The sequence below is a fragment of the Homo sapiens genome, chromosome 10, assembly GCF_000001405.40.
Source record: "Homo sapiens chromosome 10, GRCh38.p14 Primary Assembly".
Taxonomy (NCBI): Eukaryota; Metazoa; Chordata; class Mammalia; order Primates; family Hominidae; genus Homo; species Homo sapiens.
The window spans coordinates 4,204,574-4,230,190 of NC_000010.11; the positions used below are offsets into that span (position 1 = coordinate 4,204,574).

Genomic DNA, 25,617 nt, shown 5'->3' on the forward strand with positions numbered 1-25,617 from the left:
GAGCTGTGAAGGTGCACACCAGTCTCAGGACCACACAACAGAAGGGGTAATGGCAGCTGATACTGTATGACAACTGGTAGACCTCCGCTACGTCAGGAACTGCTCAATGCTGCTATTTTCTGGGTTAAAGTAGTTGGCAGGTGAACATAAAAATCCAAAATCCATCACTAAAAATTGAATTGAAATGCAAAATAAAATGCTGCTCTGACCAATGACAAAAAAATAGAACTTCTCAAAGAGTTTCGGTGAAAAGCAAGAAATCATTGTGGAGAGGAACTAGGGAGAAGTCAACTCCAAGGTAATCAAAAAGAGTTCTATTTTGCCTGAGGATTTTGGAATAAATTCAACAGCACTAATTGGCCCCGGATGTGAATAGGTAGCCAGGGGCATGGGATGGGGCACAGACACCGAGAGCTTCATCTTCCTGAATAGGAAAACTTAGCTTCCAGTGTTGAGCTGCCACACACACAGCTGCAGATGCAAATGACCCATGTTTCCCTCTGTGTTTCCTAGCGTCTCTCCTTCTAGTCGTATCTGTTGTAAAGACTCTCATTCATCCAGGTGTTATTTAAAATAGAGGAGAGAATAAATTCCATTTTAAAGGTGTTACTTTGGGTCAATTCTTGGAGACAGGTAAACAAGTCAGGGCTGGAAAATATGACTGAGAAGCCAGGGCCACTCCTCTCTCCTCAGCAACAGCAGAGGATGCTGTTAAATAAAGTAATTCACATGAGCCTGTGGGGCCCTTTTACCTGCATGGACAGCCACACTTTTTCATTGTTCCTGGTCCTCTTACCCTCTGCAGGAATTTGCCCAATTCCAAATATGTCTCAAGCTCGTATAGGAAATCAGTTCCTATGGAAGGACTAGTAAGGGTGGTAAATGAATGACTTTTCCCAAAGTAATTTTCATTCTCATAAAAAATGTTTGCAAACCATAAATCCTGTCAGACTTACAAAGGAACAAATCTATAATGCTAGAACTTCACTCACTGAGACTGTCTTTCAGGAGAAAGGACGGGGGATTTGGAGATAAGCAGGCTTCCATGGGGCTTCTTCTCAGGGTCAGCCCACAGTCCTAAAGAGCCCCCGTCTATGTGAGGCTAAAAGCAGGTGCATCTGTACTCAGGAGGGTCTCCATAGACAGCCGTCTTGCCCACCCAGCTGAAGAAGGCTTTTCAGTTTCGACGCATCAACAGCCGTGCTCTGCTCTTGGCAGCGAATCCCAAATGACAGCTTCTGTGAGTGTCCTTGTAGGCACAGTGGCTCTCACACCACAGGGGAGAAGTGCTGTGTCTTAAGCTCATCTCAGGAATATTTCTCCCTCCCAGCAACACCCAGAGAAGGGCCCCCTTCACCCTAGGCTGTGGTCCTGCATGGACGGTGGAGAGCAGTCAGGGTTGAACCCATTCGCCCAGCCCTGCCCTTAAAGGAACGTGTGGCTTTCAAATTGGAGCAGCTTATCCTCTTGATTTTGCGTCATGTATAAATGAAAGAGGAGACATTTTTGGTGCTTCTTGTGACTGGAATCTGCCGTAAGCAAGCTCCCCTGGGAGTATTGGGCTGCGTCTGGATGTCTCACTTACAGTGGCCCTTCGTCTCCATTTCAATCTTTTCTTTACTTTATTCATCCTGCTCCACCCCTTTAGCTGCTCAGACAGCACATGTTGGAGCTATCCTCTCTCTCTCTCTCTGTTTCACCCACATCTAATCCATAGCAAATTCTGTCCGCTTAATCTTCAAAATGTATCTATGATCTGGCCACTTCTCTCCATCTCTACGGTGACTACTGTGGTCCTAGCCACTGTCGTTTCCTGCCAAGATGATGTCCACAGCCTCCTATTTGGTATCGAGAGAAGCCATGGCCCCAACAGCCTAAGCAGTGTATTCAGATGGTGCTGGTTCTCTGCCCCGTATGCTCCATGCGCCCACTTCTCTGTTTGCATCGCGGCTGCAGGGCCCCTGACGCTTCTGCGGCTGCATCTCCGCCAATGTCCTCCCTGGCTCTGGCCCTTCGTACTTCCTCTTTTCTCTGACTTTCGGAATGTTTTCTTCCTGGGTTCAGTTTGTTGAAGACTTTGCTCAAATGTCATTCCCTCTTTAAGGTCTTCTTTCCTGCACCCAGACGGCTTTATCTAAAATCAGTCTATCTGCCCAGCAACGGCTCCATCCTCCTTCTGCTCATCCCGGCACGGCATTTACCTCCTGAAACACACTAGACATTCTAGTTGTTTATATATATTGTTTGACTTGCCTCTCAAAATGTCAACTGCAGAACAGTAAGGATTTCCAGGTGACTGGCACTGGCCTAGCCTCACTACTCAGGAGAGGATGCAATGGGTGACAGACATTCAGTGATTATTGATCAACTGGCTGGTTGGATGAAACCCAAATCCCTGCCCATTCCATGGGTGCTGGCTCTGCAATTCCTGTGCTGTCCCCCTTGGGTTCCCTCGGTGAGAGGCCTCCATGTGAACACACGCTGATCCCTTGCCCTTGACGGTGGTGAGCTGGCTTCATTCACCGGGAGGAATCTCTCGCACTTTCATGGTTCTTCCAGTGATTGAAAGCAGCCATCAGGAGCACTTCGTCTTCTGTGGAAGCAATTTTATCAATATAAATCTCCATCATTATCAGGGAAAGACATTAAGAGGAAGACATTCTGTTTCCTGAATTACCCAGGATTAGATTAACAAAGTTCATTTATTATTAAACTAAGGTACTATTAGAATATGCTCCCATGCTACAGTGCCTGGTTATGGAGTACTAAATGATTCAACAAGATAATTAACCCCTGCATCCTTTAAAATTTTTGAATCCAAATCACTGTGAAACCTACCACAGATAAACACAAGAGGGGTATGAACTATAAACATTGTATATTTGAAACATTAAATTTTATAACTTTCTAAAGCAAATGTCAGATATAAAGAAGATATAAATTGGGAGGAAACCTACAGGAAGCTTCTGAAAGAGCATGGCTGAAATGCGGTTGTATTTCTTTGCTTCAATGAATAAACATTCAGCGGCTTGCCCATAAGAAAAGGGAAGAGCCCATTCTATATCCCTCTCATCATGCATATTATAGATCACTTGCCACTGCGTCCATAAATTTCATGAGCTGCAGTGCCCCTGTCTCTAATATATAAGAGACAGCACTGTGTTTAATAACGTCTGCCCTGTCACAGAAAGACAATGATGGCATCCTTCTATGACTAGCAAAGACCAGTTATTCTAAAGGAGGGAAAGAGAGGCTGAATATTGCTGGGCAAGAAAGGGGAATGGCCGTTTGGCTGTGGGCCTGGATGGCACACTAAAGAGATACTAATGGTGAGACCTCTCAACGAGACATAAAGTGTGTGGCATTCAAACTCAAAGTGAATAAACTCTACCAACATAAAGGAGGATGCATCTTACGTGTAATCGCACCTTGACATAAAAGGTTTCAGTGAAAAGAATTGTGCCCACTTGTCCTGTCCTTCGCTTCTCTGACTTCACATCACACGGGACCACATCATTATCTAAACCTACACCAGCATAAACCACATATCCATAGACTCACACCAGCATAAACCAAACCTAGGCAAACCTAAATATGCATCAGAAATGAAAGTTGCCAATTCATCTTTATTTGAAATATGAAAGATCAAAGGGAGAAAATCTAACCTCTCAACTCAACCTTTAAAAAAATCCCAAAGCACTTAATTTGGTGACAGATTGGTATGTCTAACCATGCCCTTGGACTGAGTGAAAATGACTTGACAACAGCCCCATAGCATCAGCTGCCCCGAACCTTTGGGGCTGGATGCACCTGCACAAAGAGAACATGGCTCACATTGGGCAGCTTGAATACAGAAGAGGCTGGACTGATTCAGAAATCATTGATTTCAAGGGAGCCTTTAAAACATTTCCTTTTGTCATTGATGATTTACTATTCTGACATAGCTATCTATCGGCTCACTGGCAAACCAGGTTCTTAAAAGATTACACAAATTCGGAAGGGCTTTCGGGAATCATAAACCAATAATAAAAAAAAAAAAACAGTTCTTCATTCTTTGTTGAAAAACATCCAGAAGACTCTAGGGAAAGATAAGAAGGAGAGTGCTTTATTCTGCCATCTCCAGGACTTGGCAGGCAGTTTTTGGTTCTGCTAAACTACATGGAAAGAAGAATTCTGTGTTAGGCTACTGAAGGGTAGCTGGACCGATACTCCCAAGGAAAAGCGAGAAAAGCAGAGAAAAACAGTAAATAAATAAGTAAGTGAATAAGTAACAGATTTTTTGAATAAATAAAATCTGTTTGAAGGCATTGGGAACTTCTAAAGCAGCCAGGACTTGAGAGACCAAGATCCAAGAAAGGGAGGAAAGAAGGGAGAAAGAGAGAAAGAGAAAGAAGGACAAGGAGGAAAAGAGAAAGAGAAGGAGGAAGAGAGAGGGAGACAGAGAGAGAGAGAGAGAGAGAGAGAGAGAGAGAGAGAGAGAGAGGCTGGGCAGAGACAGAGAATGCCTGCAGAGATAAGCCACTTATTCCACGCACTTCTGTTTCCCTAAAGGCTGTTGTGAACTCAGGGCTAGAGGTAGAGAAACCAGGTAATTCTGAGCAGAAAGTCCAAAGCAGAGATTTTGGGCATCTTGGAGAAAACAAACACAAATAGAACCATGATTGGGATCCACTGAGCTAGGTGGAACTTGCAGGACCCTGCTACTAACCCAGGGTTTTTCTCAAGGCATTTGCCGATCTTTATGCAGGTCAGAGCCACGCACCGGCACAGAGAGAAGTTGTAACGGCAAACAGGTCTTTGACTTCCTCCTGGTGCTCTGGATACCAACTTAGAGTTCAAGACCCAAGAAGGTGGAGTGGCCATGACCATGCCCAGGCTCTTAATGGCACCCCTGAAGGACGGTTCCCGGGAATGGGGTGCAGCTGTCTTACAAAAAGTGAGCCAGCCTCAAGTCAGAGACGTCCGTCCTTGGACTTGGCTGCCCACCCTTATTCTGGTTTCTCTTCCAAAAAACACAGTGACTCTCCTTCAGAAGATGATACCCTCCACAGCCTCTGCATTTTTGTTTTTTGCATAAAATGCCTATTCTTCAATTAAAAAAAAACGGGGCTTATCCATAAAAGGTACTAATAGAGAAATCTGACAAACAAAAGTAGAACCGCAAGTTATCAGACAAATACAGCAGTGCCCAGTGTGGAAAACAAGACCCTAGCTTCTACAGACCGACCAGGGCTGTGAGTCTGCTGAAGCCAGGTGGCAGGTCCCTAGAGCCCCAATTCCAACAGTCGGGGTGAACTGTCCAGGCCTCCAGAATTTCAGGTGGGACTGCCCTTGTTCTTGGGGTGTAGATTACCAGGTAGATGTGATACGGTTTCTAACTAGTTGCTAAAATGGTTTGCCAGCCTCTCAACATATTAAAAATATTTCTATTCTTATACCCAAGACAGTGGTTAATTAATTTAATCTTCTCCTAGTGCAGTAATTGAAAATAGAAGACAGGGATCAACCAAACATATTTTTTCCTTCTTTTTCACTTTCTGTGAATAAAGGAAGTCTGTATGTATCAGTTGGTCCGTATCCTTTTCTTCTCCAAATTATCCCCAGGTATTTCATGCCTCCCTGTATCCAAACCGACCAGCATAGACTCGTGTCCAACCAATACTTGGTGAATTAGACTGAATATATCTTTAAAATAACCAGAACCACTAACTCTCCATGTAGGATAAGACCCTTTTAACTAACTAATAATGAAATAATGAAACAGAACATTCTCTCACCAGAGGTAGGAAAAAAAGGATGTTAGACACACATCTATACCATGACCATCTACATGAGAATGCCTTTCTTTGAATTTGTCACTTGTATTTACAAGTCCATGCCTGGGCGCTGTCCTCCCTTTTCCTAAAATGCCCTTCTATGGATGTGCCGAACCTTCCACTCTACAGTGTACTCATTCTTCAAGACACACCTTTTCTAAAAAGACTTTCACTTCAAAGGCAAGCAAAATTACTATATTGCTTCTCTGCTCCTTTCCTATTTGGCAAGTAGTTCTATTACAGTAATGATCATATATTAAATATTCACTTACAACTATAAATTAAATTTTATATCTTTAAGAGGCCTACTGAATAAACCATAATATTAATTTAACTACTTCATAGGTAAAATCCATGAAGTCTTTGTCCAATGTGTACACACTTGTTTCCTAGGACATCAACATTACCACATAACGTCTTGTATAGGTTGAAGATGAATTCTCCTGAAAAATCTCAAATTGTCTGTGTTTTAAATTCCTTGGGTGCCCACCCTTTGAATTAACTAATAAATAATTTGAGCATGAAACAACATTCTCTGACCAGAGGTAGGAAAAGAAAGCTGCTGGCAATGCATCCACACTACGACCATCGACATAAGAACCTTGCCTTTCTTTGAATTTGTCACGTGTATTTACAAGTCTGTACTTGGGCACTGTCCTTTCTTTAAACACGCATTTACATAAATTAATTAAAATAAACAACTTTAACTGTCCTTCTGTTAAATAAGCACTATATGGTGCTATAATTTCTATGTTTTTCAAACTCTAGGAAGCCAAGAGCTATTTTATTCACAGTGCTCACTTTTTATCTACAAAAAGCCTGGCCTATACTGAGGGCTCAATAGAGGTTTGATGTGTCAATCAAAACCTGAAGACCATTTGGGTATCTGAGAACCCACCTCGACCCATACAACAGAGGTGCCATTGGGCTGTCATTGAAATGTTTTCTTTCATTTAATAAGAAAGGCATTTTTTCACATCTCCTGAAACAATATTTTACATTGTATTAAAAATAAATATAGATATAGGTTTACAGCCGAGTCTTGAAAAACAAGGTGGTAGGAATCCTAATCACCCTCCTGCATCGTCAAAGATACAACTTTTGAATCCACAAAGACGTTACTGCTAATAGCTACTGTTGACCCAAAGCTTTTCTGATAGCATGAACAGTGGATTAATACATATTTTGTGATATATGTATATATAAAAGTATATTCTTATAATAAAGTAAGCTAGGAAACAGAAAATAAGATTAAGAAAATCACAAGGAAGGAAAATATATTTACTATTCTTTAAGTGCAAGTGGGTCATAATGAAGGTCTTCACCCTTGTGGTCTTCACATTGAGTGGGCCGAGGAGGAGGAGGAAGGAGAGAGGTTAGTCTTGCTGCCTTAGGGGTGGCAGAGGCAGAAGAAAGTCCACATGTAGGTTGACCTGTATATTTCAAATCCATGTTGTTCCAGGGTCTACTGTAGTATATATCATTGTGGATTACATATATAATTGTTCAAGAGTCTACTGTAGATCTTATAACATATATAATCAATATTAAATAAATTATAGTTATATATAATTTATTGTATATAAATGGTGACTTACTCTCTAAAGCATAAAAATATATCAGTTTTCCATGACAATGAGCTTTTCTAGCAATAGTCCAACAATATAAGTGTATTCAAGGGGATTCTACCTGGCTTATCACAATAACTGAATATTTAAAGTTTCCAGTAACAAATGTAAACAAAGAAACCACTCACATGTTGCTGGTATGTCAAGCTGAAATGCCACAAAAGCCATTGAGTTACTTGAATATCTAAATTAGAACATCTAAGAAATGGTTAGACCATATTTTGCCTAAAGATAGATTCATAAGAGAAGGCTGATTTGGGAAGTGTTATGCAAGGAGTTCAAGAATTTGGGTAATAAGACACTTTTCCCAAGCCCCACAGATGATCCTGAAGGAAGACTGGCCACTGCCCCAGCCCTCTCTAGGAATGTCATTTTCACATTTGTTTGGGTGGAGAGATGGGAGGGTGGGGAGGTAGAAATCCCTGGCTGTGCAGAATTCCTTGCTGGTCTGGTGAACAGTCAGCCTCCAGTAACCCACAAGGAAGACATTTGTCATGTCTCAGCTGCATGTGGTGGAGGGTTCATCTGCAAGTTAAAATTTGGGAGAGGTGAAGAGAAAAATCTCAAAGACAAAACAATAAGGCCCGAGATTCTGAGACAAGTGTTTGACGCATAAGATATGCACGGCTGAGTATTAGGAGGTTACTTGGAGACAATGGCCTATACCCATTAATGGAAGTTCTGAAATGTTTACGGAGACAGGAGACTGTATCCCTCACCGAGAGGGGACAAGCCCTGGGCACCCTGGTGCACACAGCAGCCTTTCCAAAGCACTCTCTGCTCTTGCGGGAAGTTTGGAAATACACTTTAGCATTCATGCTTTGTAGCTGATAATGAAATGTTTTAGGGCCGGGGCATCTGCTGTAACCTGAAATTGCATGGCCTTGTATAGTGAGGGCTGAGAAATTGCTTTTCTTCTCTGTTCTATTTTGTCTATGTCATTTTATCTTATTTTCTTGAAAAGGAAATGAGTACATGGGCCTTATCTACAGTGGTGTACATGCTGGGTGCCAGTGTTTGTATCTGTGTGTGCAAGCACGGTCTGTGTGGTGCCGTCCTCCAGTTGATCAGGGGAAACCTGAGAAAGAAAACGGATCCAGGCCACTGAGGACAGCATCTACCCCCATGACTGTGCAACTTTTCCCACTAAATCCACTGGCCAGTTTTGTCAAACTATCAATCAAACACATTGGTAAGGAGCCGCTGGAGAAGTCAGTTGACTTCTCAGCTAAGGTAGGTATGTTCTAACCTAAGGTGGGTATGTTATTTTAAGGAAATAGATGCAGAACATATACCATTAACACTTAAAATGACTGGAGGCATAGTGTTAATAGCAACAATCATGTGAGCTCACCTTTATTGCTCCTGGCATGCTTTAAAGGATTTTCGTTGTCGCTGTTTTTTACGTTTCTCAGCCTATAAACTCACAATAACCTTGTGTTAGTTTATTGGGGCTGCTGTAGCAAAGTCCCACTAACAGAGCGACGTGAATAGCAGAAATGCATCATCCCACAGTCCTGGAGGCTGCACGTCCAAGGTCAGGGCATTGGCAGGGTTGGTTTCTTCTGAGGCTGTGAAGAAGGTGCTGTCTGCAGCCTCTTCAGGAGCTGCTGGTGGTTTGCTGACTCTCTTTGGCATTCTTTGACTCATAGAAGCATCACCCAGTTCTCTTTCTTCCTCTTCACATGGCGTTCTCTCTGTGTGTATCTAAATTTCTTTCTTTTAGTAAGGACACCAGTCATATTGCATTAAGGCTTATCCTAATGACCTCAGTTTAACTTGAATACCTCTGTAAAGACCTTATCTCTAAATACAGTCACATTCTGAAGACCTTAATATATGAGTTTTGGGGGAGATACAAGTCAATCCATAACAAACCTTACAAAGCACTTTCTAAAATGGTCCCCAGTTTGCAGTTGCAGTTGTGGAAACTGAAGTGCAGGGAAGTCAGGCAGCTTACTGAGGTTTACATAGATGGTGAATATCCGAGCCTGAGTGTCAATCCAGGTGAGCTGGATGGACACACACACACTCAATGGCACTCTTCAACTCCTCACACTGTCTAGGAATGACCATATTAGGAAATGGCCATATTGGTCAAGAGAGGGAAGGGTCATCCAGGCTGAATTTCCAATCTTTTGAGATCAAAATTAGAGAAAATAAACTGATATTATTTGAAGGCTTTTTAGCTTAATGAAACATGTGTCCCATTTAATAGAATTTTTATATTCTCCCACTGTACCACATAGTAACTACTTTAAGATAGTTAAATTTGAATATAAATCCTATTCTGGGAAAAGGACTCTTCTGTGTAAGACTTGCAATTTCTTATATAATTGAATATTTTCTGAATAATAATGTGATAGCCTCCCTCTCTCTCCCTCCCTTTTTCTCTCTTTGTTTCTTTCTAGAATAACTTAAAATGTAAGGGTCTGTTTAAATTCATATATTCTAGTACTGGGCCTTAGACATAATTAACAGATGCACAAATTTGCAAGCTATTTTACTAATTTGTTCATGCCAACTTGAGGTAAACACAGAAAAAATAAATAGAACAATAACAAACTCTGGAGGTTTTTTTTTTTTTTTTAAAAATTGTAGTGCATAAAAAGCTTTAGCTCTCCGTGCCCTTCAAACAATTTGTTGGAAATGTTAAGCAAAAATTTTCTGCTTCATCTATAATTCCCAAAAAGAACAAAGCATGTTGGTTCTTCCTGAAGTTTGTTTTTTATTTTTTATTTTTGAGTACTGTTCTAAGTGTCATTTAGAATCCACAGTTGGCCCAAAGGGTCAAGAAGAAATAGAGATTCTGCCAGTCCTGGGAATGATTTCCATTTCTCCCTTGTTTTCCAACCTCCACTTCTATTCCTGCATTTTAAGCTCATCTCCACTCTGAACTATTCTTCTGAAATGATGCAAAGCTTTTTCTGAGATGGCAAGTAGGCTTTGTTTTGCAAATAAACCAGAATACCTATTGCTTGCATACATTTTTATTCTCTCTGAAATGGGAGATTCTATTTTTAGACCATGCTGTGAGATCCACCCTCTGGGTCTCTGTTAGATGCCAGGGACAAATGAAGAGCTCTTTTGAGGAATGCAAGACAGTCTCAGCGGTCAGCATGAGAGACAGTCAGAGCTCTTGCATGAAGGTCAGCTTCTGATTTCAAATCTCAGTGTGAGCATTTGCTGCACCAGTTACAGCTCCATCAGCCTTTTAGCCTATGGAGGAATATGAAATCTTTCCATCACAGACTGGTTCTCTGGTTTGTAATTCTCAAATCCAGAAGGGGACATTGAGATGGTAGACTGAAGAAAACCTGTTGTTGTGTGGCCCTTGAGCCTCTTTTTTCAAGTCAGAACCTCTGCTTCGAGAATGTATGAGCAGGTTTCACACAAGCGACCCTGAACTAGAAAGACAGCCAGCCCCAGCACCATCCTGTAGTTGGTTATAATTTTGGCCTTTATCCTTCCCCCACCCTTATATGTCCATATCATGTATCCACCCTGGTTATTTCCGTTTCCCCTGCCCTTTTTCTTAATCACTTCTTATTTGATTACATGCAATTCAATTACTCAACAGAATTCACCATGTTCATAAATGCCTTCATTGCTTGCAGAGTAGAGCTCAGAGAGCAAAGTCTATCATGTACTTTTTACAAGCACACAAGAGGAAGTTGATTTATTCTGATGCACAATTTCTTTCCGATGAGAGCGACCATCTTCTTCCAATTACTTATCTAATTGCAGTGACTCACCAAAATGGAAACTTCATGTAGATACGAATTAGTATTATTTTAAGGTATTATCATAATAGTGCATTCTGTAATAAAGATGTTAAAATATTTAAGATTGGTTCACTGGACACAAAATAGATCTAATGGCATATCCTTAGGTAATGACCTCATTAACCATAGTTATTCTAACCTGCTCCCTAAAATCCACAGCAGATATATATGGTTGGATCTTAATAATCTAATTTTCTTGTCTCTCACATAAGATACAAACTGGGTCTGTACTTTGCCTACTAGTAAGCCCCTGAATAGCATCAATTGGAATGCAAAATTGAGTGCTAATGGTGTTCTTTATTAACATACACTTTTGTAATGAATCTCATTTTAGATATGCAAATACATGAGTTAGCTGACTTGCTCCATGACATAGTCAAGAACCCACATCTTGATAGCCAAGAACACAGAAGAGTCATTCCTCTAGAAAGCTTCATGAAAATCCCCTAAATTTAATGCAGACTGCACTCAGAATTTAAAGAAATGCTTTACTCTTCATCCCTGTTCGGGTCTAATTGGCACACACATACGAAAAGGCAGAAGCCCTGCTCTTCATGGCCAGGGTTCCCCAGTGGCTGGCACAGGGCCGAGCTCATTCCAGACCTTCAACAACTTCTTCCTGGCTGATTAAGGATGGATTGATTGGATTGACTTAGGAAGGGGAAGAAGGATGGAGGAAAAAAGGTTAGAGCTGCCCTTAATTTAACAGTTTTGCCTGATTTTAAAATACGCACATTTTTTTTCTTTCAGGATGGTTAAAGGGACAATGTCTGCAAAAGAAAATTAAAAATTCCATGCATCTTTCTTTCTAAATGAATTTCCGTGGCTTTGTATTTTGACCCCCTCCCTGCCAAAGAAAGGAAAACCAAACAGGCATAAGATAAATTTTCATTCTGTTTCATACAAGGCATTTTGTGTATTCCATAATCAAAATAATCATCTCCCAAACATGGCTGATAACGAACTTACAAAAAAATAATGCAATGACTGACTTTACTGAACTTTAGCAACAGAAGCAGTATTAAGATTCACTTCCCATTCCCTGGTATTTGATTCTCCTGTTGTGAGTGTGGGAATGGCTGAACTCAGCAGAGGCTGTTCATAGTTAATATGTGGGGACATTCACGATGGAAGGCAATTTGCCAATATTCTGTAGCAAAGCAAAAGTAAATTTGTGATTGCATCTTTTTTTATGCAAACATTTTCGAACAATGTCTTCAAGGGAAATGAATGCTTAAATGTATATGTTTCTGATCCACAGATTCCTGCAGTTTTTAAAATTATTACACAGTACCACATTATCATAAATTATTTTCATGCAGGAAACTAGGGTTTATCTTACAGGCAATTAAAAGCTTCTGTTAGATATTCCCAGCATGACATTCTCTAAGCCATTAGCTTTTTGTAGGTCAAACACATCTCATTGACTTTGAAGCACCTTGGGCAGTGGAGATTGGTCCCCTTCGACTGTGCTATGTCATTACCAGTTCTTCTGTGTTGTTATTTTCTGACCCTCGACCTGTGACTCTGTGTGATTGTGATGGAGAGGAACTTTGTCACCAATATCAAGTGAGGTATTTTCATTGTTTTCTGGGTCAAGAGAGAAATGATTGTTTCCTCGTTAACCTTTGGAGTTATAAGAATTTGGTTTGTCTGATCTTTGTGTGTGTGCAATTGAAGCTCTGAGCTGGATCACATCACATTTCTGGGTTCACGCTGTCTATGTTTGAAAACCAGAGGCAGAGATCTGCGAGTCTAATCTTCAGATTCAGGGGGTCAGCCTCCGGAGTCTGATGCTGGTTCTGCTCCCGTACCTGTTGTGAAGTGTTGGGGAAATATCAGGACCCCCCAGCCTTAAAAAGGATGCAAGTATGTAAAAGTGTTTGGGACCTCTCAGCTGCAGAGGAACCTGTGCTTTCTTCTGATGGCTGCTCTGCTAGCAAGGCGGCAGGGAGACGCTCAAGACTGCTCTCCTAGCTGTCAGTGCCACTGGTATAGCTGTCAGTGCCACCGGTAATATTCCTCGCAATGAAGAAAGACTGCTGGTATTTGATTGCTTTTCCCTTTCTCATTCTCTCGTACAGTCTACGTTGCAGGGCGCAAAATTCCTGCACTCAAACACTCCATGCTTGCCAAGGTCCACATGCAGAATAGCTGGCCCACAGAAATTCTCTTACCTCGACTTTCAGGGCAAGCTGAGGCTTCTAAGTGAGAGACCCCTTGTGCTCTCTGGCAATGAGCGGCCTGTGCAGTAATTGTACTTCCCATTAAGGTGTAACTTCCATCTAAAGCCTCTCGTCTGTTCAGTTTCTTCTGAAAAGAGCTTTATTGCTTTGTGTTTTGTGCAGAGATTGAAACTGATTATTATCAGATATGAAGAAACCAGCTTTGTTTTAATCTTGATAACTCCCAAAGGGATTGCTGCAGTGACTTAATATCTGTAAGTCCTCAAATCCACCTTTACTTGGATTTTCCATTTTAAATTGTTCTCAAAAACACTTTTCTTCCTCCCTCTCTCTGTGAGAGTATTTTTACTTGTATTCATCCATTCTTCTTTGAAACATAGTACAGAAATGATCAATGCTTAATCATAGGGCCAATATTATAAGAATTTATTAGTTAATATTTGTAAAGATCTTTGATGATAAATTAATGCATTTAAGTAGTAAGCCTTCCTCAATTGTTATGTATAATTATTTTTAATGTGTTTTCAAATTATAGTTTACAAACGTCTACCAGAGCTACACAAGCCTAGATTATTAGACAGTTCTTCTTATAGAATTTCTGTAATCCCAGTGGAAATCTTCAGTTTACATACTTGTTTGTTAGAAGTATTAAAAGTCGGCTAGGCATGGTGGCTCACACCTGTAATCCCAGCAGTTTGGGAGGCCGAGGCAGGTGGATAACCTGAGGTCAGGAGTTCAAAACCATCCTGGCCAACATGGTGAAACCCTGTCTCTACTAAAAATACAAAAATTAGCTGGGCATGGTGGTGGGCGCCTGTAGTCCCAGCTATTCGGGAGGCTGAGGCAGGAGAATTGCTGGCGCCTGGGAGGCAGACGTTGCAGTGAGCCGAGATCATGCCACTGCACTCCAGCCTGGGTGACAGAGCGAGACTCTGTCTCCCCACCCACCCCCCACCAAAAAGAAAAGAAAAGAAAATAATTAAAAGTCAACTCTATTTCCATCTTTTTTTAAAGAAGGCAATTTTCTAGACTTCTTGAAGAAGGGAAAAGCTCAGGCAAGCTGTGTGTTTTCCTGTGAAAACTTCAAAATGAAATTAACTGAACACTGAAATGTAATTTTCTTCTTCGAAGAATATAGCTTTTGGTTTTTGTTTCCTTACAATTTTTATTTTAGATTCAAGGGGGTATATGTGCAAATTTGTTACATTGGTAAACTGCATGTCATTGGAGTTTGGTGTACAGATAATTTTGTCACCCAGGTAATCAGCATATACTGACAGGTTTTCAACCCTCACACTCCCACCCTCCACCCACAACTAGACCCCTGTGCCTATGGTTCCCTTCTTTGTGCCCATGTGTACTCCATGTTTAGCTCTCAGTTGTAAGTAAGAACATTCAGCGTTTGGTTTTCTGCTTCTGTATCAATTCATTTAGATTCCTCCAGCTCCATCAATGTTGCTGCAAAGGACATGATTTCTGATGTCTTTCTTAATGATTGAAGCTGCTTCCACTCTTCCTTCTTTTTCTCTGTTGAAAGTCTTCATTAGACTATGCTACCAATAAATCTATGGGTAATATAGTGCCTGTTTAGAAGCTTAGGTAACATGTAACAAATAATTATTGAGCTCCTATTGCTCTGAGATCTCTAGACACTAATAGAGAATAATGTTTGTAAAATATAATACAGATTGAGATTTTCAGAATGAACTGCAAAGGGTTGATTTAGGAGGAAGGAGACACATAATTATCTTATTTGTAGTCATCCAAACAGGAGTTGTTTTGGAGAGGCAAAGAAGAGCAAGAAACAAAGTTTAAAAGTATTATAAAGAAGGGCTAACAAGATTGGGTGTTCATATATTTTATTTGCTTTTCTCTTTGTCCATTTATTAATTCATTCAAGAAAAAAAGCATTGAATGCCTACTTTGCATCTTTCCCTATGTTAGGTCCTGAAAACAAGACGAGAAATAAGTCTCTGAAATTAAGGAGTCCAAATTCTGGTCATTAGAAGGGTTGTGTAAAACCAGTGATTGCATTGCAATGACATGAATGATATGACATAGCAGGGAGCATGGCTAATCCTATTGTCTACTTGATCGGGACATGTGGTGCCCAGATTAAACATTACTTCTAGGAGCGTCTGTGAGGGTGTTTCTAGATGAGATTAACATTTGAACTGGTGGATTTAGTAAAGTGGATTCGGATTACCCTCCACAAAGTGAGTGGGCATCATCCAATTCCTCAAGGACTTGAATAAAACAAAAGGTTAAGGGAGAAAGAATTCTACCCTGCCCCCTTCCTTTTTCTGCCCCAGCATTTGGCTGGAACAAAGGTTTTCTCCTGCCCTCGCACTGCAGTCACACCACCTGCTTTCCTGGGTCTCCAGCTCCAATTTTCCATAATAAATACATACATATAGATATAGATATCTATATATCTGTATCTAGCTAGTATCTATAAATATCTCTATCTATATAGATATATAGATAGATATAAATTGATAACTATATAGATATATTGATAACTATATAGATATAAATTGATAACTATCTATATAGATAGATACATATATAGGAAATATATGGGATATATGTCTATATCCCCCATTGCTTCTGATTCTCTGGACACCCCTGATTAAGACAGCAGGTAAACAAAAGCATTTAAACAAAAGAAAAGCCAGAAAGAAGGAAACTTGCTGGTGGGCTACTGAAATAATGTTACTGCCAGAAAGGAAGTAGAGAGGATGTCTAGCAAGATGAACATGCTGTGCAGGTCTGGAATATGAGGAAGTTAAAAGTGGGTCAGTCTTACAGGAATATCAAATTGATACAAAAATGTCAAAACTCAGGTATGGGTGGATGGTCAGGATTAGAGACCTTACTCAAAAGATAATTGACGCGAGAAGCATACATATTCTTCTCAAGTGAGAAACAGAGAAAGAAAAAAAAATGAGATAAGAGATAGATGAGAGGATCTAATACATTTCAAAGAAGCAAAAGAGAGTGAATAAATGGATAAATAACTCTAGATAAGCATTGACTATGAAATGCAATAATAATAGCAATGAATAAGCTGACGTACTTTAAAGGAAGGAGAATTAAAATGTATGAATAAAATGACATGCAAAACGAGATTGAAATGATTAATATAAAAATAAAGAATTGCAAAATGCTGGGCAGTGAAAAATGCACGTTTGTGCTTTCTTGGTGGAGACCCTGTGCAGGCATGGCATCGACAGGCTGGTGTCTCCTCCTCACACACTGGAAGTGGCCTGGGCATATTTGGTTATAAACTGTATTGGTCTGTTTTCACGCTGCTAATAAAGACATATCTGAGACTGGGTAATTTATAAAGAAAAGAGGTTTAATGGACTCACAGTTCCACATGGCTGGGGAGGTCTCACAATCATGGTGGAAGGCCAAGGAGAAGCAAAGTCATATCTTACATAGCAGCAGGCAAGAGAGCTTGTGCAGGGAAACTCCCCTTTATAAAACCACAAATCTCATGAGACTTATTCATTGTCATGAGAACAGCATGGGAAAGATCTGCCCCATGACTCAATTACTTCCACCTGGTCTCTCTTGACATGTGGGGATTATGGGGGTTATAATTCGAAATGAGATTTGGTGGCTACACAGCCAAACTATATCAAAACATACTCTTCCTTCAACTGTAGAAATTTTACTTTATTTTTTAAGTGCATAATTGAAAGTAAATCGGGGTGGTTAAGTGGGCAAAGAACTCTTTTCAAAGGTCTAGCTCAAGGATAGCTTTCAGGGGCAACAATCTGTGTTGTGTTTCTTAACCACAGATTCCTTTTGTCAGCCCCCTGAGATATCCTACAACTTCTTTGATATCAGTTGATGAGGAGAAATAGACATAAATCCATCATGACCAATGAAGAAAAATTCAAGCCCTGGGATGGTGGATTCACAGCTTCACATATGAAGAATATCATATGTAAAACCTAAATAAAAGGAAGGTTTTTATTTTTATTTAGTTAAAATACAGCTTTTTTTTGTCAAAGCTGGCAAAAATAAGCACATTGATGCAAATATATTTTCTAGGTATTACTTATCTGTAGAATTGAAAATCTAGTCATAAGTTTAAAAATATACTTCAACAGGGATTGGACAAGTTCAGAAAACTCAAAAGGAATGAAATTTTATCAGCTGTTCTCAGAAAAGACTTTTCTTCTCCCAGAAAATAGTAAGTTGCTTCTGTTCTTATAAATGAGCCTCTGTAAAGCAAACATTATTTATTTATTATAACATATTGAGACTGTCTGCCTTTTTATGCAATTATGTCTTTGTTTTTATTCAAATTTCAGAGAGTATTAAGAACATTTTATGCATTATGTATGAATCAAATATCAATTGATCAAATATACATTTGAAGAAAATATATTTAATTTGTGCTTAAAATGCATAAAAATATTCACTTTATTCTGCCCCATTTTTTCTAATAGGTATATTATTCCCTACGGAAAATAGGATTTGTTAAAAAAAAAAACCCATATGGTAACAACTTTCCCAGAACATATAATTATGGTAAACTGAATATTTTTAAAAGTAGTCTACAATTTCATGAGGGCAAAAAGCATGTCTAATCACCCATCTAGTCTCAACATCTAGTGCCAGGTTGTAGTTGGTGTCCAATAAATATTTTTGGATGAATAAATGAATGAATGAATGAATGAAAAAATGTTGTCATGATCTACTGATTGATGGTGGGCTCTCTGGGTGTATGTCTGCATTCAACATTTCCTATGGCGGCCAAAGCCTTTTCCTCATCATTTTGTCATTTGTCTAGACTACAGAGAATAAACCCAAAGCATGCACAGCATCCACCATTCAACATATTACAAAGCAGTAGCACTTGAGGCACTCTAAAAACTGAGTACTTTATGTCATTATCAAGTTCCAGTCTTTAAGGTAGGTTTTCAGCAAACGGGATTATTATTTTTAAAAGTTGTTGAGACTAGCCTCATATACAAGCTCAAATAGGGTTGAGAGATAATTGTGATGTTGGGCATACATCACGTAAGTAAAGGAGAAGCTTTGAATCCTCAGGATCTACTATTCTGGCCATAAAAGGTTAACAGTAAGAAGAAGAAAGTCACCAATAAAGCATGTGTTACAGCCACACCATACAGTAAAAGATGGGTTGAAGTGATGCTGGTTTACACTATAGTGAGTTTCCTTATATTCATAACAGTGTGCAAACTTGTAACTCCTGGTTGTTTTCAATAATGTCTAAGATTATTGCTTTTAGTTCTTTTAAAGAAAATCATCCATCATTAATGGCCCATGTTTTTAAACGTAATATCATTCACCACCCATCTTCTTTTGACTTTGAATGACACCTAAACCTCATTTCACTGACAAGATTTACCATAAAAGCAATCAGGAACAAATAAAAATATGTTAGAATTCCAAGCTCATTCTTACGTGTGCTCAAAATGTCAAGTATGGAAAGATATTTTATTTTTATTTTTTTCTGAGATGGAGCCTTGCTCTGTTGCCCAGGCTGGAGTGCAGTGGTGCAGTCTTGGCTCACTGCAACCTCCGCCTCCTGGGTTCAAGCGATTCTCCTGCTTCAGGCTCCCAGGTAGCTGGGACTACACACAGGGTTTCACTGTTTTAGTCAGCCTGATCTTGAACTTCTGACCTCAAGTGATCCGCCCACCTCAGCCTCCCAAAATGCTGGGATAACAGGCATGAGCCACTGCTCCCGGCCTAGAAAGATAATTTATAAAGAAACACTAAATTATGGAGTTAGCCTAATCCTCTATTTTAAAACAAAATAAAATGTATCAGCATTTTCATAAATGTGGCAACCATTCGTGGTTTATGTGTGTGGTGTAAATATTATGTACACACCCTGCCATTAAATTAACACCAGAACTCTCCATATTTCATATTACTTTCAATTAATATGGATTGACTATGAAAAATACTGTCAAGTAAAACAACATGTATGAGATGAACTCTAGACTATCTCAAAGGGACCCGGTCAAAGGGAAATAGAGTGAATTGGAGGAAAGCACTGAGAAATTTATCTGGAACAAGTGGAACATGTATCAGAAACGGTAGTAACACACAGGCCAAATCCAGCCAACCAACTGAATTTTTTCTCTTAAATAAAGTTTTGTTGGGACACTGACACTTCCATTTTTTCCTGCATTGTCCGTGGTTGTTCTGAGTAGCTTTGGCAGAGAACTATGTGGCCTACAAAGCCTAAAATATTATGTATTTTTCCCCTTAGGGAAAAAAAGTTTACTTACGATTGCCTAATATATAGCATAGAAAATTAAAAAAAAATTTAAGAGATAAAAGATAGGCCGGGCACAGTGTCTCATGCCTGTAATCCCAGCGCTTTGGGTGCCGAGGGTGGGTGGATCACTTGAGGTCAGGAGTTCAAGACCATCTTGGCCAACAGGGTGAAATCTCATCTCTACTAAAAGTACAAAAATTAGCCGGGTGGTGGTGGTGCATGCCTGTAGTTCCAGCTCCTCTGGAGGTTGAGGCAGGAGAATCACTTGAACCAGGAGGCAGAGGTTGCAGTGAGCTGAGATAGCGCCACTGCACTCCAACCTGGGTGACAGGGTGAGAATGTCTCAAAAAAAAAAAAAAAGACAGAAAAGGTAGACAAGAGGCTCTAATATACCTCTAAGAAGCAAAAGAGAGCAAATGAATGGATAAATAACTCTAATAAATGACTATAAAATGTAATAATTATAGCAATTAATCTGATGTACTTTAAGTGGAGAATTGAAATATATGAATAAAATAACATGTAAAACAAGATCGGAATGATTAATATAAAAGTATTCTAAATGTCTTATCAGGAAAATGACACATATATTAACTTTACACTTTGTTTAGACAATTATGCATGCTGCTATATATAAGGTCAAATGCAAAAATATATCTTTTAAAAGCATGGAAATGAAAACTCATGGGTACAACTGCACAGGAGAATGCATGAAAGCTGTAGAAAGGGAAAATGGCGAGTAAAATAATCCAAACCATGCAAAGGAAGACAAGAGAAGAGAAAATAAAAGGAAGAGGGAAAACATAAAAAAATAGCAGCCATAAGATGATAAAAATAAATTACTAATATATGAATTGCAAATATGTCATTAATTACAATGTAAAAATATAAAATCATTTCCTAAAAGACAGAATTTTTTTTTTTAAGATGGAGTCTTGCTCTGTCGCCCAGGCTGGAGTGCAGTGGCGCGATGTCGGCTCACTACAAGCTCCGCCTCTTGGGTTCACTCCATTCTCCTGCCTCAGCCTCCCGAGTAGCTGGGACTACAGGCGCCCGCCACTACGCCCGGCTAATTTTTTTGTATTTTTTTTTTTTGGTAGAGACGGGGTTTCACCATGTTAGCCATGATGGTCTCCATCTCCTGACCTCGTGTTCCACCCCCCTCGGCCTCCCAAAGTGCTGGGATTACAGGCGTGAACCACCAAGCCTGGCCAAAGACAGAAATTTTTAGAATTGATAAAAAAAAAAAACTATGATGATTCATTTGTGTGTCAACTTGAATGAGCTATGGGGTGTCCAGTTATTTGGTCAAACATGCTGGGTGTTTCTGTAAGAGTGCTTTTGGATGAGATTACCATATTAATCTGTAGAGTAAAGCAGATTGCCCTCTATAACGTGGGTGGGCCTCATCCAATCATTTGAAATTCTGGATAGAACAAAAAGACTGACCTCCCACAATTAGGGGAAAATTTTCTGATGGATGACCTTTAAACAGCATCATTGTCTCTCCATGGGTCTCCAGCCTGCTGGTTAACCCCACAGAACTGCCTATGAGCCTCCATAATCACATGAGCCAATTCTTTAAAATATATCTTCCTCACTCTGGAGAACCCTGACTGATACCACAACTTTATGCATTATTCTAACAAAAGTTTTGAAATTAGGCTGACACAGAAGGTTGAAACTAAAAAATATATATCAGAAAATTACTGACCAATAAAAGAAAATATATCAGCAAAAGTACATGTTACGGTGAAATAAACTATCGGGTTAAAAAAGGGTATATTTTAAGTGATAAAAGACACAATTCACCACAGAGATACACATTTTTTGAAAGCATAGCCATATAAATATGTACATCAAGCAACAGTGGAAAAAACCACAGGAACAAATTGATAAAACAACATTTATAATAGAGAATCTTGATACAACTTTCTCAGAAAATCATAGATAAAACAAGTGTAATCTTAATTAAAATATAAAGGTTGAATACTTGAATTTAACATCAAGATTTGCTTTTTCACTCTTTTTCTCTTTAACATTTTCTTTTTTTCCAGTGCCTAATACTAAATCATACAGTAATAAATCATCATTAATTGTGATTTCCGTACATCTTTCACCCCAATCCAAATGCAAAAGTCAGAGTCTTTTGCAGTGACTCTGGATATAGCCATTTTCAGAGTTCTGTTGTCCAAAGGCATCTCATAAGAGTATTTGCAATTATGTTACAAAGTAGAGGAAAGCATTAACTTGATTAGACAGTGATTTTCGGGTAAGCATTATAAAGAGCACTACTGAATTAGGATGACTTCCAGCAAGCTGTTTGGAAAGTAAGATCATTAAGGCATTAGAAGTTCAGCTTTCAGACCTACCTGTATGATAGATTGTTAGGCTGAATATTAATTTTAAATGATCCGAAGAGATCATGACAATCACATTGAGCAACTTTAGCTCAAAAGCCTGTTGGTGGTGTTATACAGATTACGATTTATTTTTATTACATCAAAAATTAAAATGAAATTTGTTTCATTGAAAACTAAGATAATTTTAGAATCAAGATATAGATGTATCATTCTTCCTAAATTGTTTAATTTTAGTTCAGTTCAGCTTCAGAGGAATCTCATCTCTGTTTTGCCTTCTAAGTGGCTCTCATTTTGAAATAAAGACCCTGCGAAAAAGACAGCTAATTGAATGCATCACACTGAGGCCCAAAGAAAGTTATATCAGATATTCCACGTATGCATCCACCTCCTCTTCACCCATCCATTCATTCACCTGTCCAGTCTCCATCAGTCCACTCATCTATGTATCTGTTTTCCATCCATCCATCTATCCATCCATGCACCCATCCGTGCATCCATCCATCCATCCATCCATGCATCCATCCATCCATCCATGCATCCATCCATCCATCCATACACCTGTCTATCCATTCACCCATCCTTCTCTCCCTCCATCCTTCTCTCAATCTAATCATTTTTTCCTCCATCCACTGGCTCATCCTATAAATATTTATTGAGCAGCTGCTCTGTGCCAGGCACTACTATACACAGTGGAGATATGTTAGTCAATAAAGCATCAAGGCTCCTGCTATCTTTGGCTTTATATGCTAATAAAAAAGATACACAATACAAACATACATAAAAATGCACGTCACCTTGCTTTGTTTGCAAAAGATAATGGGCAGTGCTTTCTGGTAAATTAACTACTTAGACCGGAGAAATTTAGTTTTGATTAGGTAGGTGAGCCCCTCACTATCTTGCTCAGAAATCATTTTACAAGTAAAGGATAGGGAATCCCAGTGTAATAACATGGGGAGATATTGTTCCATAGCCTCTCATGACAAGGGAAAGGAAGTGTCCAAATTATGTAAACTATAGGAATATTTAGAAAATAAATATATTTATTCATTAAGCAAAGAACATTGATATAAGTACTTAAATGTTTACAGCAGAATAGACAGATCTAAGCCATTCAATGTGAGATTTTATTAGTCACCATAGCCCATGTAAATAATTTACTCCTGTTTCCTTACTCTTGGCTGTGGGGACCTTGATGATGTTCCAGATTTACTCAGCTGGTCTATGAAGAAAATATTTTAAGAAAGAAAGTGATATAGGATGAATGAGGGTAGAGTTAAATTCAGTAAGGAGCTCAAAATAATATAATGGATAGCATTTTAAATATTTATTGAACCATGGAGATAAGCACTTCTACCCAGTTTGAAACTTATTCATGCCAGACATTTTTTCTCGTTTAATTATTTTTGAAGCATGAATTAGTTCTTGCCTCTTTTTCTTTTCAAATATCACCACCATACTCAATCTTTCACCAGTTATTTTCTATGATAATTCTGGTAGAAAAATATTAGCAGGTTTTTAAAAATAATAAAATGTATTACTAACATCAAGTAATTTTAATTGCTTCAGTTTTAACTATTATATCTTTAATTTAAAACATAACTAGAACGGGGATTTTGAGGGATATGACAAAGTAAATCACAATAGGCCTCCAAGGGAGATAAAACAAAGGCATATAATTTTAAATAACACTTGAAATAATTCACCGTGAAAAATATTTGATGCTAACACGTCTAATAATATTGGTAATTGTATACTTAAACTTACGTCAATTTTGTATTGACATGTTTAAATCTGAAATTGAGATTAAAGGAGTCTGGATCAGTTGTTTAAAAAAGTAAAAACAGAAACTTTAATTTAAGCAAAGGAATTCTTCTTTTTCCAAGTAGTGTTATTCTATAAAATATTAGCTAAAGCAAAAATGGAAGATTCAGAGCCCTGCCCACCTAGCCTAAGAAAATGTAGTCGCTGGGTGCGGTGGCTCATGCCTGTAATCCCAGCATTTTGGGAGGCCGAGGCGGGCGGATCACGAGGTCAGGAGCTCGAGATCATCCTGGCTAACACCGTGAAACCGCGTCTCTACTAAAAATACAAAAAATTAGCCGGGCGTGGTGGCGGGCACCTGTGGTCCCAGCTACTTGGGAGGCTGAGGCAGGAGAATGGCGTGAACCCGGGAGGCGGAGCTTGCAGTGAGCCGAGATCACGCCACTGAACTCCAGCCTGGGTGACAGAGCGAGACTCCATCAAAAAACAAAAACAAAAACAAAAGAAAATGTAGTCATACTGGAGCTCCTCAAACCACGTGTGCATTTTCAAAGATGCATATAGGAGTTTTTTCCAAACAGAACAATGTAAGAGTGAATGAATGCATGAATGAATGAATGAATGGAGTCTTGTTATCTTTTTTTCCATACATTAAGCAAATCCATATGAAAGAAAATATGAATTGCCAGTTGTGTCTTTGAACTCTATTTCATAAGGCTTCCAAATAAGTTTTCCAAGTCAGAGGTCAACAGTCTGTTTTGCAGCCTGGATTCAACCCCATGAGCATTCACCCTGGACTCAAACTTCACCCAGGGAAATCCAAGGCTTTCCTCCAGGAGACAAGAGCTAGGTAACAGCCATAGTTCCTCAACAACCACAGGTATGAAATGTCAGTCAAGGCCACTTAAAATACCTGAGCTATCACCAAAACCACAATAACCATGCTGGATAAAGCAGCGTTGCCTCCCACAGCAAGATGGATTCACGGGGATCGGGAAAACTCTGCCAATTTCGCTCCACCAAATATGTGCCAATTACACTTCTCCCTAACACTGCCCCTTGGTAAAGCAAGTTGAGGAAAATACCATGTTTTCTAATACGTCTCACACACCTGAATATAAACATATTTCTCAGGAGAGCCAAGGAAAATCATATGGGGAAAGACATAGAATAAATAGATGCTAAATTATCTCTCACATTCTCAGATGAGTTGCTGAAGTTTCTGTTGATAAGCTCAGGTTTACTAAAACTGTTTACTGTTCAATGGAGCTGGTTTCCTCATAACCTGTGAGACAATATAGAAATCAGTGCAGTTATGTTTGTAAAACCGAGTTGGAGCCAGTTTTCTGCCTAGTTTCAAACCTGTGGTCCAAGAAGTATTGACTACCAATGTCACTTGGTCCAAGGGACTTCAGTGTTATGAGCTTCAGAGTCATCAATTGTGAAACTGACCAGAAATAAATCTCAGGCACTTGGAACAGTGGCCAAAGTGTAGTATGTGCTCTAAATATATTTGCTGTGATTGGTGTTTGAAGGATCAACAAGTGCCTAAGAAAAGTACTTTTTAACTTAAATTATAAATCATCAATGTAAGTTTACTCTTCTGGCAAAAAAAAAAAAAGGCCAATAAAACGCTATATTAAATAAATACTAGATGAAGTTGCTCTGACAGTACTTGCAGGCACATGCCCACAGGTGCACGCATATTACACAGACCACAAACACAATTAAAATTAAAGTAACCTGGAATTTATCATTAGACATATTTAATTAAGCACTGCTTTTTATCTTGCTATTTTTTTAA

At 39.2% G+C, this 25,617-nt stretch overlaps 1 long non-coding RNA gene across 1 annotated transcript in view, besides 1 other annotated feature; it reads right to left on the reverse strand.

Moving 5' to 3' along the window:
* Positions 1-2,302: 2,302 nt before the first annotated feature.
* The window catches only part of LINC00702 (long intergenic non-protein coding RNA 702), a 37,037-nt gene continuing 13,722 nt past the window's right edge, over positions 2,303-25,617 (reverse strand). Inside the window, exon 3 of the long non-coding RNA NR_108040.1 lies at positions 2,303-2,593. This is a non-coding gene — a long non-coding RNA (long intergenic non-protein coding RNA 702). The remainder of the gene's footprint in view (positions 2,594-25,617) is intronic.
* Positions 15,278-15,788: an enhancer, noted in NCBI's record as "NANOG hESC enhancer chr10:4262043-4262553 (GRCh37/hg19 assembly coordinates)". NCBI's record gives its function as "activates a minimal SCP1, AML or CMV promoter by ChIP-STARR-seq in naive H9 embryonic stem cells {active_cell/tissue: H9 hESC(naive)}" and the evidence as "EXISTENCE:reporter gene assay evidence [ECO:0000049][PMID:30033119]".